We start from the raw sequence: 20,512 nt of genomic DNA, 5'->3' as shown, positions 1-20,512 counted from the left end.
CACTCCAGACTCAAAATATATATATATATATATATATATATATATATATATATATATATATAATCATTATAGATATAGTTGAAGCTTCCTGTGTACTATTTTCCAAACTCATTCCTCTCCTTTTCCTGGAGGTACCAGCTATGCAGATAAAAGCAGAAATTAATGTCAGTAGCAGTGTGTTCATCATGTGTCTATGCCTTCATGACAAAGGAAGTTTAAAAACTTGTGTTCCTGGTTTCTGCATTGGGAAAGTAATATTAATAATGTTAGAAATTCTCCAAACATGGGGCGACTTATTAAAATATGCTCAGGCCAGGTGCCATGACTGACGCCTGTAATCCCAACACTTTGGGGCACCAAGGTTGAAGAATCATTTGAAGCCAAGGGTTTGAGGCTAGCTTGGGCAACATAGTGAGACTGCATCTCTACAAAACAAAAACTTTTTTAAAATTAGCTAGGCATTGTGGTGTGTGCCTGTAGTCCCAGCTACTCAGGAGGCTAAGGCAGAGGGTCCCTAGAACCCAGGAGTTCAAGGATGCTGTGAGATATATGATCGTGCCACTATTCCAACCCAGGCAACAGGGCAAGACCCTGTCTCTTTAAAAATAATAAAATAAAATAAAAGCTGCTTGGGCAAACTGTTAAACGTTTGCTTCTATTCCTGAGATACCCAACTGCTCCAGAATTTTTTTTAGAATACATTACTAGATTTACTATTATTTTATTTTAGATGTTTGTATCTAAGCTTAGTTTGGCCTCCAATTTTCTTGGATTATAATGATCTTAAATATTTATATTGCATTTATGTTAGCCTCACAAAATGAATTGAAGGTGTTCCCTCTTTTTCCATTCTCTGAAATTATTTTGATATGATAGTGCTTATTTATATGTTCTTTGAATGTTTGGTAGAACTTTCATATTAAAGTATCTCATACTAGTGGGTGTTTTCTATGAAAAAGTATTTACTGATTGAATTTTTAAAAATAGATACGTGAATATTCGGGTGTCCCATTTCTTTTTGACTAAGTGTTTATAAGTTATAGTAGCCAACGAAGTTGTTCATTTCACTTATGTTTTTAGACTGTTGTCATATAGTCATTTATAGTATTCACTTTATTATTTTTTCACTCATATTTTATGTTACACTTCATTTTTTATTCCTAATATTGCTTATTTATGCCTTCTCTTTTTAATTAATCAATGTTACCAGAAGAGTGCCTATTTTATTATTCTTTTCAAAGAATCAGCATTTGGTTTTGGGAATCTTGCCTATTGTTTCTTTGTTTATAGTTTATTAATGTCTATTTCTACTTTTAGCCTTATTTCCTTTAATTTATTTTATTTAGGTTTACTCCAATTTTTTTTTTTTTTTTTTTTTTTTTAGACAGAGTCTTGCTCTGTTGCCCAGGCTGCAATGCAGTGGCCCAATCTCGGCTCACTGCAACCTCTGCCTCCCTGGCTCAAGCAATTCTTCTGTTTCAGCCTCCCAAGTAGCTGGGATTATAGGCACCCACCACCACACCCAGCTAATTTTTGTATTTTCAGTAGAGACAGGAGTTTCACCATGTTGGCCAAGCTGGTCTTGAACTCCCGACCTCAGGTAATCTGCCCTCCTTGACCTCTAAAAATGCTGGGATTACAGGCCTGAGCCACCATGCCCAATCTCTTTTTCTCTTTCCAAACTTCCTAAAGTGGACATTTAACTAATTTTCAGCCTATTTTTCAATATAAACATTTAAAGATATAAATTACCCTTTCAGTACTGCCTCAGCTCTATCTCACAAGTTTTTTTATGTAGTATCTCACTTCCAAATATCTTCTGATTTTTGTTTTCATGTCTTCTTTGACTGAAAAATTATTTAAGGTGTGCCTTTAGTTTGAAGATGAAAGAAATTTACATTTTTTTCTCTTATAAATTGCATTTTGGTTACAGAGTATAAGCTGCATGTTATAATGTTTATTTGTTGTGATTTGATTCATAGGCTAGCATAGGTTCAGTTCTCCTAAGACTTTATCAGGCTTCAAAGTATATATATTCTCTAATTTGAGCATACAGAAGTCTATATATTTCCTTTAAATTAAGCTTTTTTAATAAAGTGGTTAAAATCTGAGGTAATCTTACTACATTTTGATTATCATTGACTCAGAGGTTTAAGTTTCTTCAAGGTTGAGGATTTAGACATTTTTCTTTGTAATCCTGCAATTTGTGCTTCATATATTTTATGGTTGAATTGTTACATGCATACATGTCTTTACACAATGACTTTTATTCCTCAGAATGTTTTTTGTCTTAAATTATAGTTTTTGATATGAAAATAACTATATCAGCCATATATTGGTTAATATTTGTTTTATTTATCATTTACTCATCTCATAACTTCAGAATTTTGTGTCTTCATATTTTTAACTATTACGGGTTATACCTGGCTTTTCACATTTTTATCCAGTCTTCAAGTGTCTGTCTTTAACTAATTTAGACCATTTAAGTTTATTGTGGTTATGGATAAATTTATATTTACTTCTGTCACCATATTTTGTGCTTTATGTTAACCATATTATTTCTCCAATTCTTTTCCCCAATGCATTCTATTAGATTGATCAAAGTTTTTCCCCTCTATTTGTTTAAAAGTTGTATATTCTAGTTCTATTCTATTCACAATTACCCTTGAAATGTAATATGTGTACTTGAATTAACAAGTAATTTAAAAAACCAATTGTAAAATTAAAATCACTAGTTTCATCTTGAAGGATGAATTAATTTGGATCACCCTCATTGACTCCTAACTTACTGTTTTCCAGTACTTTTCTTCCAATTTATATTTTATCAGCTTTTTTGAGGTATAATATACAGAGCACAAAATTTATTTATTTTAAATGCACATTTCGATGAGTTTTGACAAATTTATAGAGTTGTGCAACAATTACAAAAATTCAGTTTTTGAATACTTACATAATCTCAAAAAGTTTCCTCATGCTTACTTTCATTAAATCCTCACTCCCACCTACCCAAGTCCCAAGAAACAAATGATCTGCTTTCTTTATAGATTTGTCTTCCATGAAAAGCTACATAGATTGACTGGGCACAGTGGCTCACGCCTGTAATCCTAGCATTTTGGGAGGCCAAGGCGAGCAGATCACCTGAGCCCAGGAGTTCAAGACTAACCTAGGCAACATGGTGAAACCCCATCTCTACTAAAAACACAAAAATTAGCTGGGCATGGTGGCGCACCTGATAGCTACTCGAAGGCTGAAGTGTGACGGATTACGTTTATTGATTTGCGTATATTGAGCCAGGCTTTCATCCCAGGGATGAAGCTGACTTCATAGTGGTGGATAAGCTTTTTGATATGCTGCTGGATTCGGTTTGCCAGTATTTTATTGAGGATTTTTGCATTGATATTGATATTGGTCATCAGGGATATTGGTCTAAAATTCTCTTTTTTTGTTGTGTCTCTGCCAGGCTTTGATATCAGGATGATGCTGGCCTCATAAAATGTGTTAGGGAGGATTCCCTCTTTTTCAATTCATTGGAATAGTTTCAGAAGGAATGGTACCAGCTCCTCTTTGTACCTCTGGTAGAATTCAGCTGTGAATCCATCTGGTCCTGGACTTTTTTTGGTTGGTAGGCTAATTAATTATTACCTCAATTTCAGAGCCTGTTATTGGTCTATTCAGGGATTCGACTTCTTCCTGGTTTAGTCTTGGGATGGTGTATTTGTCCAGGAATTTATCCATTTCTTCTAGATTTTCTAGTTTATTTGTGTAGAGGGGTTTGTAGTATTCTCTGACAGTAGTTTGTATTTCCATGGGATCAGTGGTGAAATCCCCTTTATCATTTTTTATTGCATCTATTTGATTCTTCTCTCTTTTCTTCTTTATTAGTCTTGCTAGTGGTCTATCAATTTTGTTGATCTCTTCAAAAAACCAGCTCCTGGGTTCATTGATTTTTGAAGGGTTTTTTGTGTCTCTATCTCCTTCAGTTCTGCTCTGATCTTAGTTATTTCTTGCCTTCTGCTAGATTTTGAATTTGTGTGCTCCTGCTTCTCTAGTTCTTTTAATTGTGATGTTAGGGTGTCGATTTTTGATCTTTCCTGTTTTCTCTTGTGGTTATTTAGTGCCATAAATTTCCCTCTACACACTGCTTTAAATGTGTCCCAGAGATTCTGATATGTTGTGTCTTTGTTCTCGTTGGTTTCAAAGAACATCTTTACTTCTGCCTTCATTTCCTTATTTACCCAATAGTCATTCAGGAGCAGGTTGTTCAGTTTCCATGTATTTGTGTGGTTTTGAGTGAATTTCTTAATCCTGAGTTCCAATTTGATGGCACTGTGGTCTGGGAGACAGTTTGTTGTGATTTCTGTTCTTTTACATTTGCTGAGGAATGCTTTACTTCTAACTATGTGGTCAATTTTGGAATAAGTGAGACGTGGTGCTGAGAAGAATGTACATTGTGTTGATTTGGGGTGGAGGCTTCTGTAGATGTCTATTAGGTCTGCTTGTTGCAGAGCTGAGTTCAAGTCCTGGAAATCCTTGTTAACCTTCTGTCTCATTGATCTGTCTAATATTGACAGTGGGGTGTTAAAGTCTCTCACTATTACTGAGTGGATGTCTAAGTCTCTTTGTAGGTCTCTAAGGACTTGCTTTAAGAATCTGGGTGCTCCTGTATTGGGTGCATGTATAGTTAGTATAGTTAGATCTTCTTGTTGCATTGATCCCTTTACCATTATATAAAGGCCATCTTTGTCTCTTTGATCTCTGTTGTTTTAAAGTCTGTTTTATCAGAGACTAGGATTGCAACCCCTGCTATTTTTTGCTTTCCATTTGCTTGGTAGATCTTCTTCCATCCGTTTATTTTGAGCCTATGTGTGTCTCTGCATGTTAGATGGGTCTCCTGAATACAGCACACTGATGGGTCTTGACTCTTTATCCAGTTTGCCAGTCTGTGTCTTTTAATTGGGGCATTTAGCCCATTTATATTTAAGGTTAATATTGTTATGTGTGAATTTGATCCTGTCATTATGATGTTAGCTGGTTATTTTGCTCATTAGTTGATGCAGTTTCTTCCTAGGATCAATGGTCTTTACAATTTGGCATGTTTTTGCAGTGGCTGGTACCAGTTGTTCCTTTGCATGTTTAGTGCTTCCTTCAGGATCTCTTGTAAGGCAGGCCTGGTGGTGACAAAATCTCTCAGCATTTGCTTGTCTATAAAGGAGTTTATTTCTCCTTCACTTATGAATCTTAGTTTGGCTGGATATGAAATTCTGAGTTGAAAATTCTTTTTTTAAGAATGTTGAATATTGGCCCCCACTCTCTTCTGGTTTGTAGGGTTTCTGCCAAGAGATCTGCTGTTAGTCTGATGCACTTCCCTTTGTGGCTAACCCGACCTTTCTCTCTGGCTGCCCTTAACATTTTTCCTTTCATTTCAACCTTGGTGAGTGTGACAATTATGTGTCTTGGTGTTGCTCTTCTCGAAGAGTATCTTTTTGGTGTTTTCTGACCCTAACATCACAATTAAAAGAACCAGAAAACCAAGAGCAAACACATTCAAAAGCTAGCAGAAGGCAACAAATAACTAAGATCAGAGCAGAACTGAAGGAAATAGAGACACAAAAAACCCTTCAAAAAATTAATGAATCCAGGAGCTGGTTTTTTGAAAAGATCAACAAAATTGATAAACCACTAGCAAGACTAATAAAGAAGAAAAGAGAGAAGAATCAAATAGATGCAATAAAAAATGACAAAGGGGATATCACCACTGATGCCACAGAAATACAATCTACAATCAGAGAACACTACAAACACCTCTACACAAATAAACTAGAAAATCTAGAAGAAATGGATAAATTCCTCGACACATACACCCTCCCAAGACTAAACCAGGAAGAAGTTGAATCTCTGAATAGACCAATATCAGGCTCTGAAATTGTGGCAATAATCAATAGCTTATCAACCAAAAACAGTCCAGGACCAGATGGATTCACAGCCGAATTCTACCAGAAGTACAAGGAGGAACTGGTACCATTCCTTCTGAAACTATTCCAATCAATAGAAAAAGAGAGAATCGTCCCTAACTCATCTTATGAGGCCAGCAACATTCTGATACCAAAGCCAGGCAGAGACACAGCAAAAAAAGAGAATTTTAGACCAATATCCTTGATGAACATTGATGCAAAATCCTCAATAAAATACTGGCAAACCGAATCCAGCAGCACATCAAAAAGCTTATCCTCCATGATCAAGTAGGCTTCATCCCTAGGATGCAAGGCTTGTTCAACATATGCAAATCAATAAACGTAATCCAGCTTACAAAAAGAACCAAAGACAAAAACCACATGATTATCTCAATAGATGCAGAAAAGGTCTTTGACAAAATTCAGCAACCCTTCATGCTAAAAACTCTCAATAAATTAGGTATTGATGGGACATATCTGAAAATAGTAAGAGCTATCTATGACAAACCCACAGCCAATATCATACTGAATGGGCAAAAACTGGAAGCATTGCCTTTGAAAACTGGCACAAGACAGGGATGCCCTCTCTCACCACTCCTATTCAACATAGTGTTGAAAGTTCTGGCCAGGGCAATTAGACAGGAGAAGGAAATAAAAGGTATTCGATTAGGAAAAGAGGAAGTCAAATTATCCCTGTTTGCAGATGACATGATTATATATCTAGAAAACCCCATCATCTCAGCCCAAAATCTCCTTAAGCTGATAAGCAACTTCAGCAAAGTCTCAGGATACAAAATCAACGTACAAAAATCAGAAGCATTCTTGTACACCAATAACAGACCAACAGAGAGACAAATCATGGGTGAACCCCCATTCACAATTGCTTCAAAGAGAATACAATACCTAGGAATCCAACTTACAAGGGACGTGAAGGACCTCTTCAAGGAAAACTACAAACCACTGCTCAATGAAATAAAAGAGGATACAAACAAATGGAAGAACATTCCATGCTCATGGGTTGGAAGAATCAATATTGGAAAAAAACTACTTTAAAGTTCATATGGAACCAAAAAAGAGCCCACATCGCCAAGTCAATCCTAAGCCAAAAGAACAAAGCTGGTGGCATTAGGCTACCTGACTTCAAACTATGCTACAATGCTACAGTAACCAAAACAGCATGGTACTGGTAACAAAACAGAGATATAGATCAATGGAACAGAACAGAGCCCTCAGAAATAATGCCGCATATTTACAACTATCTGATCTTTGACAAACCTGAGAAAAACAAGCAATGGGGAAAGGATTCCCTATTTAATAAATGGTGCTGGGAAAACTGGCTAGTCATATGTAGAAAGCTGAAACTGGATCCCTTCCTTACACCTTATACAAAAATTAATTCAAGATGGATTAAAGACTTACATGTTAGACCTAAAATCATAAAAACCCTAGAAGAAAACCTAGGCAATACCATTCAGGACATAGGCATGTGCAAGGATTTCATGTCTAAACCATTCTCCCCATCACTTTCAAGTACACCAATCAAACTTAGATTTGGTCTTTTCACATAGTCCCATATTTCTTGGAGGCTTTGTTCATTTCTTTTTACTCTTTTTCTCTAAACTTCACTTCTCACTTCATTTCATTCATTTGATCTTCCATCACTGATACCCTTTCTTCCACTTGATTGAATCGGCTACAGAAGCTTGTGCATGCATCATGTAGTTCTTGTGCCATGGTTTTCAGCTCCGTCAGGTCATTTAAGGTCTTCTCTATGCTGTTTATTCTAGTTAGCCATTCATCTAATCTTTGTTCAAGGTTTTTAGCTTCCTTGCAATGAGTTCGAACATCCTCCTTTAGCCCAGAGAAGTTTGTTATTACTGACCTTCTAAAGCCTACTTCTGTCAACTCATCAAAGTCATTCTCCATCCAGCTGTGTTCCATTGCTGGCAAGGAGCTGCAATCCTTTGGAGGAGAAGCGGCGCTCTGATTTTTTGAATTTTCAGCTTGTCTGCTCTGGTTTCCCCCCATCTTTGTGGTTTTATCTACCTTTGGTCTTTAATGATGGTGACCTACAGATGTGGTTTTGGTGTGGATGTCCTTTTTGTTGATGCTGTTCCTTTCTGTTTGCTAGTTTTCCTTCTAACAATCAGGACCCTCAGCTGCAGGTCTGTTGGAGTTTGCTGGGGTTCCACTCCAGACCCTGTTTGCCTGAGTGTCACCAGTGGAGGCTGCAGAACAGCAAATATTGCTGCCTGATCCTTCTTCTGGAAGCTTCATCTCAGAGGGACACTTGGCTGTATGAGGTGTCAGTAAATCCCTACTGGCAGCTCTGTCCATTCTCAGAGTTCAAACTTCATGCTGGAGAACCACTGCTCTCTTCAGAGCTGTCAGACAGGGATGTTTAAGTCTGCAGAAGTTTCTGCTGCCTTTTATTCAGCTATACCCTGCCCCCAGAGGTGGAGTCTACAGAGGCTGCCAGGCCTCGTTGAGCTGCAGGGAGCTCCACACAGTTCAGGCTTCCCAGCTGCTTTGTTTACCTACTCAAGCCTCAGCAATGGTGGATGCCCCTCTCCCAGCCCAGGCTGCCACCTTCCAGTTCGATCTCGGACTGCTGCACTAGCAGTAAGCAAGGCTGTGTGGGCATGGGACACGCTGAGCCAGGCATGGGATATAATCTCCTGGTGTGCCATTTGCTACGACCATTGGAAAAGCACAGTATTAGGGTGGGAGTGTCCGGATTTTCCAGGTACCGTCTGTCACGGCTTCCCTTGGCTAGGAAGGGGAAATCCCCCGACCACTTGTGCTGCTTCCCAGATGAGGCGACGCCCTGCCCTGCTTCGGATCACCCTCTGTGGGCTGCACCCACTGTCCGACCCGTCTCAGTGCGATGAACCAGGTACCTCAGTTGGAAATACAGAAATCACCTGTCTTCTACATCAATTATGCTGAGAGCTGCAGACAGGAACTGTTCCTATTCGGCCATCTTGGAACGATCCTCTCTTTTCATTTATTTAAGAAATATTTGAAAAGCAAAGATTTCATCATTTTGGTGAAGTCCAATTTATCTGTTTTTCTTTTATAGAACATGTTTTTGATATTATATCTAAGAAAACTTTTCTTAGTCCAAGGTCATAAATATTTTCTCCTATATTTTTTTTCCTAGAAGTTTTACAGTTTTAGCTCATACAATTAGGTCTATGATCCATTTTAGTTAATTTTCGTATGTGACCTAAGGATCTAGGTTTAGTTTTTGTAAATGAATAACCAGTTCTTATAGAATCATTTGTTGAAAGAACATCTTTTTCCTATTGAATTGTCTTAGCATCTTTGATGAAAATTAATTGACTATTTATGTGATTGGATTCTGAACTCCACTTAGTTCCATTGATCTATCTATCTCTCTTAATGTGGATTCTACACTGTCTTGACTACTGTTGCTTTACACTGAATTTTAAAATAAGGCAGTATTAAGTACTTTAACTTCATTCTTACTTAGCAAGATTGTTTTGGCTATTCTAGGTATTTTTGTATTTCTATATAATTTTAGAATCAGCTTGTCAATTTTTCCAATAATCTTTCTAGACTTTTGGCAGGAATTGCCGTTAATTTGTAGATCAATTGACATCTAACAATATTGAGTAATCTAATCCATTAACATGATATATCTCTCCATTTATTTAGACATTTATCTGAGTGATGTTTTTTAGTTTTCAGTGCAAACGTTTCACACTTATTTTGTTAAATTTATTCCTAATTATTATTGCTATAGTTTGAGTGTCTCTACCAAAACTCATGTTGGAACGCTTAAGAGGTGGGGCCTAATGGAAAGTGTTTGTGTCTTGGGAGCTCTTCCTTTGTGGGCAGCTTGGTACTATTCTTACATTGGTGAGTGAGTTCTCACTCTTGTGAGATTAGTTCTCTCAGGAATGGATTAGTTACCATGAGAATGAGTTGCTATATGGTGAGGTCACGCTTCATGCTTGGCCTCCTGGTACATGTCTACTCCCCTTTGACCTTCTTCTACCATGTTGTGACACAACACTGAAGCTTTCACCAGAACCCAAGCAGATGCCAGTGTCATTCTTTGCAGCCTGCAGAACTGCAAGCTAAATATACCTCTTTATAAATTACTCAGTCTCTGGTATTCTGTTATAGCAACACAAAACGGGCTAAGACAGAAAATTGGTACTGAGAGTGGGATGTTGCTATTTAGATTCTCAAAAATGCAGAAGCATCATTGGAACTGGGTAATGGGCAGAAGTTGGAAAAGTTTGAAGGAGCAGACTAGAAAAAGACTGTATTGCCATAAACAGAGCATTAAGGATAATTTCAGTGAGGGCTCAAAAGAAAACAAAAAGATGAGAGAAAGTTTAGAATTTCTTAGAGACTGGTTAAGTAGTCATTACCACAATGCTGATAAAAATATGGACAGCAAAGGCCATTCTAATGAGATCTCAGATAGAAATGAGGAACAAGGTATTAGGAACTGGAGACCAAGTCATCCTTGTTAGACCATAGCAAACATTTGGCTGTGTTGTTTCTAAGACTTTGTGCCCTAAGGTTTTGTGGAAGGCCAAACTTAAGAGTGATGAACTAGGGTACCTGGCAGAAGAAATTTCTAAGCAAAATATAGAGCAGCTATGTAGTTACTCCTTACTACATTCAGTGAAATGCAAAATGACAAGGGAAGCAAACACAAAAATTTGAAAATTAATAGCCTAGCCATGTGGAAGAGAATGAAAGAACATTTTAAGGTGAGGAATCCAAGGGTGCAGCAGAACAACCAATACTAAAGAGATTAGCACTGAGAGAAGAAAGCCAGTTGACAGTTATTGAGACAATTTTTTTAAAGGCCCTGAAGACATTTCAGAAATTTTTGAGGTTGCCTCTCCAGAGGTCTAGGAGGACAGAATGGTTTTAAGAGACAGAACCCATGCATCACTGCCCTGTGCTGTTTTGAGATCCTGCTACCCAAATTCTGGCACAGCCCTCAGCAGCCACCCCAGCCATGGCACAATCATACTCAGGTGTGGCTCAGGCTGCCATTCCACAGGATACAAACCATAAACCTTGGTGACATGCAGTCATGGATCAAGCAGCCTCAGATACAGCTCATGACAGCACTCTGGAGGGTGCAAGCGGTAAGCCTTGATGGTTTTTACAACCATGTGGTACTAGTTTTGCAGATGTGCAGAATACAAGAGAAGTGGAGGCATGGTGGATGCCACCTAGATTTTAAGGAATGTACTGAAAAGACTTGGAGCTCAGGTGGAGACTTGTTGCAGGGCCAGAGCCACTGCAGTGTACCTCCCCCAGGGCAATGCTGAGCAGAAATGTAGGGTTGGAGCTGCCACAAAGAGTCTGTACCAGGGCAATGCCTAGTGAATCCATGAAGTGGACCACCACTGGGACTCCAGAACTATAGAGCCATTGCCACCATGCAACCTCAGCCTGGAAAGGCCACAGGTATCCAACTCCAACCAGTGAGAGTAGCCATGTGGCTATGCCCAACAAAGCAATGGAGGTGGGGCTGCCCAAGGCTTTAGTGATAAAAACTCCCCATTATGCCCAGGAGGTAGCACATGGAGTGGAGAATTATTCTGGAGCTTTAAGATTTAGTGTCTGCCCTGCTGAGTTTTGAACTTGCTTGAGGCCTGTCACCTCTTTCTTCTTTTGGCCTATTTCTCCCTTTTGGAATGGAACTGTCTGCCATATGACTATTCCACCATTGTATCTTGAAGTAAATAACTTGTTTTTTTTTTTAATTTTACAGGCTCATAGCTAGAAGGAACTTGCCTTGAGTCTTATATGAGACTTTGGACTTTGACCTTTGAATTGTTACTGGAATACATTAAGACTTTGGGGACCATTGAGATTGAATAATTACATTTTGTAGTGTAAGAGGGACATGAGTTTGGGGTTCCAAGGGTGGAATGCCATAGTTTCCGTCTTTCTGTCAAAAATCATGTTGGAACCTTTAAGAGGTAAGGCCTAATGGGAGACGCTTGGGTCATGGGGGCTCTGCCATTTTGAGCAGCTTGGTGCAGTCCTCATATAGTGAGTGAGTTCTTGCTCTCATGAAACTGGATTGGTTCCTGTGGGAATAGATTAGTTGCCCTGAGAATGGATTGTTATAAAGCAACCCATCGTACATGGTTGTACCTTGTGTTTGGCCTCTTGGCACATTCCCACTTCCTCTTTGGTCTTCTGCCATGTTGTGATGCACTGCTAAAGCCCTCACCAGAAGCTAAGCAGATACTGGTGCCATGCTTCTTGAACTTCCCAGTCTGGAGAAACATGAGCTAAATAAACCTCTTTATACAGTCTCAGGTGTTCTATTATAACAACATAAAACAAACTAAGACATTTATTTTTGATGTTATTGTGATTGGAATTGTTTTCTTTATTTCATCTTTGTATTGTTTGTTGCTACTATATATATAACCAATTTTTGTATATTGATCATATACTCTACAAACTCACTAAGCCCCCCTCTTAGTTCTAGTAAGTCTGGGAGGGGGTGTGGTATGTGGGTGTGTGTGTGTGGGTGTGTTCCTTAGGATTTTCTGCATACAAGGCTAACAATAAAAAGAGTTGTCTTTTGTCCATACCTTTTTTCCTTGACTATTGCACAAACTAAGACCTGTGGTGCATTGTTAAATAGAAGTGGTAAACACAGATATCTTTGCATGTTTCCTAATCTAGAGGGAAGCACATTCTTACCATTAAGTATGTTGGCTATAGGCTTCTGGTAGATGCCTTGATCATTTGAAGAAGTTCCCTTCTATTCATAAGTTGATGGGATTTTTTTTAATATATGAGTGTTGAATTCTGTCAAATGCTTTTCTGCATCTATTGAGGTGATCATATGGTTTTGTCCTTTATTCTGTTAATATAGTTTATTACATTGATTTTTGGATGTTAAGTCAACCTCACATTCCTGAGATAAACTTCATTTGATTATGGTATAAAATCCTTTTCATATGTTGCTCAATTACATTTGCTAATATTTGGTTAAGAATTTTTATGTCTAGGTTCACAAGGGATATTGGTATATAGCTGTGTTTTCTTGTAATGTCTTTGTCTTGTTTTGATATCAGGGTAATATTGATATCAAATGAAATAAAGTTAGTTGGGAAGTTTCCTTCATCCTCTATTTGCTGAATAAAGCTTTTGTAACATTGGTATTATTTCCTCCCTTAATAGCTTCATAGAATTCACCAGTGAAGTATATTTTTTCTCTATAGGAAGATTTGAAATTACTGATGCAATTTCTTTACTTGATATTGGTATTTGTTTTTTTTCTTTTTCCTTGAGTCAGTTTTGGTAATTTGTGTCTTTCTAGGAATTGTTCTGTTTTATCTAAGTTGTCAAATTTTTTGCCTTAAAGTTATTATGCTATTTTCTTAACATCCTTTTAAGGGTAGGGTCTGTGGTGATATTTCTCATTGATTCTTGATTTTGGGAATTAGTGTCTTCTTTCTTTTTTCTTGGTCAATTTAACTAAATATTATTTATCTTCTTGACTTTCTGAAATAAGCAATTTTGGGTTTCTTTGGTTGTTTTTAATGTTATCCTGTTCTGTATTTATCGTTTTCCACTGTGACATTTTTATTTCATACATCCTACTTAATTTCGGCCTGGTTTACTCATCTTTTTCTAGAGTCTTAAGATGGAAGTTTTAATTATCAATTTTAGATTATTTTTTCTTTCTGTTTTTAAAGCTATACATTTTCCTCTTTACACTGCTTTAATTGCATCCTGTAAATATTGCTATGTTATTGGTTTTTTGTATTTTAAGTTTATAACGTTTTATTTATAAAAATAGGCTGGGGGAAAAGGATTTATACCACTGCATTCTTTCCTGGGGGAGAACTATTTTGGGCCATTTTTGTAATTTTTTTTCCTCTTAACAATTTTCAGAGTCACATTTGAATTCCTTCAGAATGGTATTTGTCAACAAAAAAGTTGAAGTTAAAAGGAGGAGGGAAACCGGGGAAGCATGAAGAAAGGGAGTGAGAGAAGGAGGAGTGGGCATACAGCAGTCAACACATAAAGACAGGCTTTTACTGAAATGACTCTGCCCTGTGCCTCATGCACTAGGTGATGCAAGCATACTGCTCAGACGTCAACACCAAATGTCATTTAGAAATGGTAGTCTTCTCTGGGTTCTGAAGGACACTTGTTCCCCAACATGACACTATTAAATGATGCTTTCAAGGCAGACACTAAGACATTACTCCAAAGAGAAGGCTCTGGTGGCAGATGCTGGGGCCATATTCTTTATAGTCCTTCTTGGTGTGACAGACCTGAAATAACTCCAGAGTTGAGGCTAGCATTAAGCTTCCAAACCATAAGGCATAGTGCTGCATGTGATGGATTACCACCCGAAACTCTGTAAGCTTAGGTTTGATTCTCCTGCCACTGAGCTCCTTACTGAGTTTTAATCTGGCATGTACCACTCTTCAAATCTCTCTGTAGTTGAGATTCAAATCCCTGAATATGGTCAAACCCCTTGAAAGAACAACATTCTTATACAGTGGACAATGCACATCAATGGGACAGTTTTGTATTCATCAACAACATTCAAGACGGATTCCATAAAGTCTGGGTTGGCAAACTCTGGGTAAAAAAATATTTCAGGTTGCAGGAACCTTTTGTAACCAACATCTATTATGAACTTCTCCTGGTTGATCACATTGATACCTGTGTACTGTTTGATCCACTTCCAGGGATCCACATCATACTTAGCAAATTCCTTGACTATATCAGGGCAAATGTAACAGTATTTCTCCTTAATGGCTTTTGTGGTCTCCAGTGACTGCTCAAGAGGGATTCCTACCTCCCTCTCCCTTAGTAGTTGTTGAATGAAATACACAGTATCACCTACAATCAGGATGTGATTGATGCAGCTCCCAATTACATAACCTTCTACAACTGGGAGAACAAGGGTGACTCCATCTCCTTTGTCAATGACTATACTCATTAACATATATTCACCCACTTGTTGAGATGTCCAAGATACTTCCAAGGCTAGTACCTCCTGAACTGCAATGTAGAATCCTGGTACATTAAATAATTCAAACATAATTTCTGCAAAAATGTTCTGTATTTTCTAGTGTATTCAGTGGAAGTTCTGTCATTGCAAAATAATGGTCCTCAGATTCTGCTCAAAATATTTAAAAACCACTTGCTCCATGAACCTTTCCATAATATCCCAGTCTTCAGTGACTCCATGTCATATTGACCACTTTGTAGCATACGTAGATTTATCAATGGCTTCATCCTGTATGAAAAAGTCAAGCTCATCAACTCCCCTCAACATTCTCCCTTGGGCTTTGTCAACTACCTTTGCTGACTCTCTGACAGAAATGCATGAAAGAATAGTAAACTATGCAGGCTCAGTGTTGCCTGCATAGCCAAGCTCGGAATATCTACTGAGGTGATCACAGGGCTGAGACCCAGAGCAATGGGGGCAGCTCAATCTCCAAGTGTGGGCTGGATGTCAGGGGCTGAGAGCAAGGCAATGGAGGAGCCAGGGTGGGCACTGAGTGGCTCTTACCTGATGCCACAGTCTGCCACACAGGAAGGCAGGAAGCCCGCCATGCTTGGAATACACAACACTTAGCCCCACTGGCCACCCTGGAGCACCCTGCCACCATCCACTTGGCAACCCACTCACCCCATACACCCTGTCTCCTGTGTGTTTCCACTTTTATTCATCTTAAGATATATTGTAGATGGGTGCAGCAAACCACATGGCACGTGTATACCTATGTAACAAACCTGCATGTTCTGCACATGTATCCCAGAACTTAAAGTACAATAAATTTTAAAAAAGGAATATTTTAAAGGATCAACCTACTATTTGACAGTCATGGAAATAGTGAATGGGAATTAAAGGGAAAAAATAAGTAAGCAAAGGAAGGGAGGAGGAAAGGGGAAAAGAAAGGAAAGAAAAGGAAAAGGGAAATACAAGAAAAGGAGACAAATAAATACATAAACAAATAAGTGACTGAAAGTCTGAGAGTTGGCAAATACTATTCAGATAACACTGACAAAATAGGCCTCTTGCTAAAAATAGCAGAATGCACAAAGTACAGGAGCAGCCTGTCTGTCCTGAGAGGCTGGGGAGGTTTAGGAAAAGAGGCTGGAGAGATTTGAGACAGGTCTGAAGTATGTAGTCAGTTTTTGCTTGGTGGAAAAAGTAATCATGGGTGATTCAGAAAAAGCAAGATACTTACATAATAACTGTTTTGTACCTTTTTTTAGTCTTCTATTACTTTCATAAAATTATCTTTGCATCAAAAGTTATTAACACTTTCAGGACTCCTTGTATGCAAAATTCTTTGAATTGCATTTCTTAATTTGTGATCGCACTGGTAATTTATCTAGCACAATGAACTGAATGTGTGTCTTTATGTTTAAAGGGAAAAATAAAATTCAAAACAGCATATTTGATATAATTTATGATTAGATAATAGAGAATTATCAACTTTAATATAATTTTTAGAAAGTAAAGCTTAGGCTAGTCACGATGGCTCATGCCTGTAATCCCAGCACTTTGGGAGGCTGAGGCGGGTGGATCACCTGAGGTCAGGAGTTCAAGACCAGCCTGACCAACATGGAGAAACCCTGTCTCTACTAAAAATACCAAATTAACCGGCACTAACGATTCATGAGAAATCTGCCCCATGATCCATTCACCTCCCAGCAGGACCTATCTCCAACTTTGGGGATTAAAATTCAACATGAGATTTGGGCAGGGACACATATCCAAACTATATCAACAGAGTTTCATTGTGTTGATCGGGCTAGTCTCAAACTCCTAGCCTCAAGCAATACTTCTATCTCAGCCTCCCAAGTACCTTTGGGGATTATAATAATCAATCATCTTCACTTTTTACAATCTACTTTGGTTTAATAATTTTTACTTAATTCCAGTGTTATATAGCAACTTTGATCCAATGTATCTCTTATATGCTATGAACTCAGCAGTATTGTTGTAGTTATTGCCTATAATAATCAGATGCTTTTTTAAAAAAAGAGATGAAATCAGAATACACACACACACACACACACATACACACACACACACACATACACACATACAATCTTTTATACTTACAAATTTATTTACCATTTCCCATGCTGTTTATTCCTTATAGGTTCAAGTTGCCATCTGGTGTCATATCCTTTTATCTTAAAAGCATTTTCTTTAGTGTTTCTTTAGCAAGGATAAGTTCTTTTTATTTTTATTTATCTGGAAATGTCTTTATTTCAGCTCCATTTTTGAAGGATCATTTAACTGGATACAGAATTCTTAATTGACAGTTATTTTTCCCTCCACTTTTGAAATGTCGCTTCATAAGACCTCCATTTTTTTCAGATAAAAATGCCAGTATTGATAATATTACTGTTCCCCTGTATGTGATAAGTCGTCTCTTGCTACTTTCATGATTTTCTTATTATCCTTGGTTTTCACCAATTTGACAAGGATGGCTCTAGGTGTGAATCTCTTTGTGTTTATCCTACTAGAGATTTGTTGGACTTCTTATATCTGAAGATTAATGTTTTTCATAGCATTTTTGAAGTTTTCAGACATGTTTTCAAATATTTTTCTGCCCTCTTATCTCTCTCTTCTCCTGGAATTCCCATTATGCATATGTTAGTGCTCTTGATGGTATCCCATAAATTTCTGAGGATCTGTTTATTATCCTTCATTCTTTTTTCTTTTTGTTCTTCAGATTGATTAACCTCTATTGGTCTACCTTCAAGTTCACTGATACTTTCTTTCACAAGGTCAAATATGCTATTGAACCTCGCTAGTGATTTTTTCACTTTAACTGTTGTACTTTTCAATTCTAGATTCTATTTTTAAACATATTCTGTCCCCTTATTCATATTTTCTATTGGACAGCACATTATCATACTTTTAATTTGAACATATTTATAATATATACTTTGAAAACTTTCTTTCTAAATCCAATATCTGAATTGAGACAGTTTCTATTCACTGCTTTTTTTCCAGAGTATGAGCCACATTTTCCTGTTTCCTTACATGTCTGATAATTTTTAATTGAAAACTAAACACTTTAATTACACATTATAGCAAATCTGGATCTGGTTTTTATTTGTTATTGTCTTTGTTGTTGTTATGTTTTGGTAATTGGCCTATACTTGTGCTGTGTAATCCTTCTGCCCAGTGGTTTTCAGCATTGATGTCTTTTATATTGTGTTGTTGCTGTTATTGTTGTTTTAGCCTGTCTTTCTAGGGATTTCCTCTGTGTCTGTTGCATAGCTTGATTTTGGAGAGACATTATATTAAAGCTAGTAAGGCTTCCACTCTCTGCCAAATAATCTGTGGGTGGGTGGGTGAATGTATTCAAAGTTGCAATTAATACTCAATTCTTACTTCATTTTTGCTTTTTGTCATACTCTCTTGAGTCTTTCCTGCACTTCCATACTTTTCCAATTGGCCATATGTGTGGAGAAGTTTTCTCAAACTTTCTATGATTCTCTCCTTTCCAGGATTTCTCTCTCTCTCTTTTTTTTTTTAGTAATACTCAGATTTTTAATTTATTATAGTGAATGGATACAAAGCAAAATTAGCAAAGGGAAAAAGTTGTATGTGGTAAAGTCTGGAGGATACCAGGCACAAGCTTCCTGGAATCATCTCCTGTGGAGTTACAAGGATGTGTTTCTCTTTCCCAGCATGAAATTTTGACAGCACATGTGTAATGTCATCTACCAGGACCAGAGTCTCATTAGAGACTCAGTACTCAGGATTTTACGGAGGTTACTCTCCTTCACATGTACCAGAATTCTAGACTCCCAGAGGAAAAGCAGCTGTTCAGAGTAAACCACATTGTTTGTATAAACAGTTTAGGCACAGTGAGCCACTCTTCTTAGTGAGAGAATTGGAACTTGGAACTGGAAAACTCTAACCTTGCATGTGGGTCTTTCTTTTCTTTCTTTCTTTCTTTCTTTCTTTCTTTCTTTCTTTCTTTCTTTCTTCTTTCTTTCTTTTTCTTTCTTTCTTTCTTTCTTTCTTTCTTTCTTTCTTCTTTCTTTCTCTCTCTTTCTTTCTTCCTCTTTCTTTCTTTCTTTGTTTCTTTCTCTCTTTCTTTCTTTCTTTCTTTCTTTCTTTCTTTCTTTCTTTCTTTCTTTCCTTCTTTCCTTCTTTCTCTTTCTTTCTTTTTTAATTTTACTTTGAGTTCCAGGATACATGTGCAGAACATTCAGGTTTGTTACACAGGTATACATGTGCCATGGTGGTTTGCTGCACCTATTGACCCTCAGGATCTCTCATTTAAATTTTTGTCTTGTCTTCCACTTCCCCAATTGAAACTGCAACCTCAGACTAGCAAATCTGCAATTCTCTCTGTTCATTCCCAAACCACTCTGCTATATTTAACTGGCAAAACCATTGATTTCTTCCCTCCACTCCATACCAAATCCCCCCTTGCCCGCAGCCCTAACAGGAAAGCTGCTGGGTTTTACATCCAGCTTCAAACTTGTAAAGCTACAGTTTTTCCCAACTGAGCTTGGGGGTGAGAAGAGAGATGGGAGTGTATTAGTCCGTTTTCATTCTGCTGATAAAGTCATACCCAAGACTGGGAAGAAAAAGAGGTTTAATTGGACTTATAGTTCCAGGTGGCTGAGGAGACCTCAGAATCATGGCGGGAGGTGAAAGGCACTTGTTACATGGTGGCTGCAAGAGAAAATGAGGAAGATGCAAAAGCGGAAAACTCTGATAAAGCCATCAGATCTTGTGAGACTTATCCACTACCACGAGAACAGTATGGGGGGGAGCCACCCCCATGATTCAATTATCTCCCACCAGGTCCCTCCCACAACACATAGGAATTATGGGAGTACAATTCAAGATGAGATTTGGTTGGGGACACAAAGCCAAACCATATCAGGGAGCAACCCCAGTCAGGAAGGGCTCAGACTTTTACCAATCCTACCCAAAACCCTAACACTTTTTTCAAGAATAAATGCTTCTTAAATTTGATAACTGCCTTTGATGAGTTTTCAGGGTCCTGAAATGACTGTTTTTGGTATTTCTGCAATTTCTGGGGGGACTTTTTGTGTGGAAATAAATTGCCAACCTTTTCATGTCACCTCCCAACCTTATCTTTATATCCTCTGATTAACAATTTTCATTAGTAATGTGTTACACAACAAATACTTGTTTAGACTAACCTACATTTTACCAATTTCTTTGCACATTGTTCCGTCTTTTTTGGTTCTATGTCATATTTCTAAAGCATATCTTTCAGTAGATTTTTCCCTGGTAAAAAATGGCATATGTTCTTAAATGTATTTGTTTGACAATATCTTTCATTTGTCTTTTGTTCGAGTGACAGTTAACTTGCTACAGAATTCAACATTGAATGTTGTGTTTATCTCTGTACTTTGAAGACTTTATTTAATTATCTTCCATCTTCTATTGTTGCTGATAAGAATTGAGAATCTGCTCTATTGTTTATTCAATTATGATTAATCTCTCTTTCTCTGTCTAGATTATTTAAGATTTTATTTTTGCCTTTGGT

The 20,512-nt window shown here is 37.6% G+C and overlaps 1 pseudogene across 1 annotated transcript; it reads right to left on the bottom strand.

Annotated features, from left to right (window-relative positions):
• Positions 1-13,739: 13,739 nt before the first annotated feature.
• Positions 13,740-15,385, bottom strand: ACTR3BP5 (ACTR3B pseudogene 5; annotated as a pseudogene). Its single transcript, NR_045000.1, has one exon. The product of NR_045000.1 is annotated as an ACTR3B pseudogene 5 (transcript).
• Between the last annotated feature and the right edge of the window lie 5,127 nt (positions 15,386-20,512).

The sequence above is a fragment of the Homo sapiens genome, chromosome 10 (genome assembly GCF_000001405.40).
Source record: "Homo sapiens chromosome 10, GRCh38.p14 Primary Assembly".
Classification (NCBI taxonomy): domain Eukaryota; kingdom Metazoa; phylum Chordata; class Mammalia; order Primates; family Hominidae; genus Homo; species Homo sapiens.
Note: the sequence above shows the minus strand (reverse complement) of the source record. Positions and strands in the feature narration are given on the sequence as shown.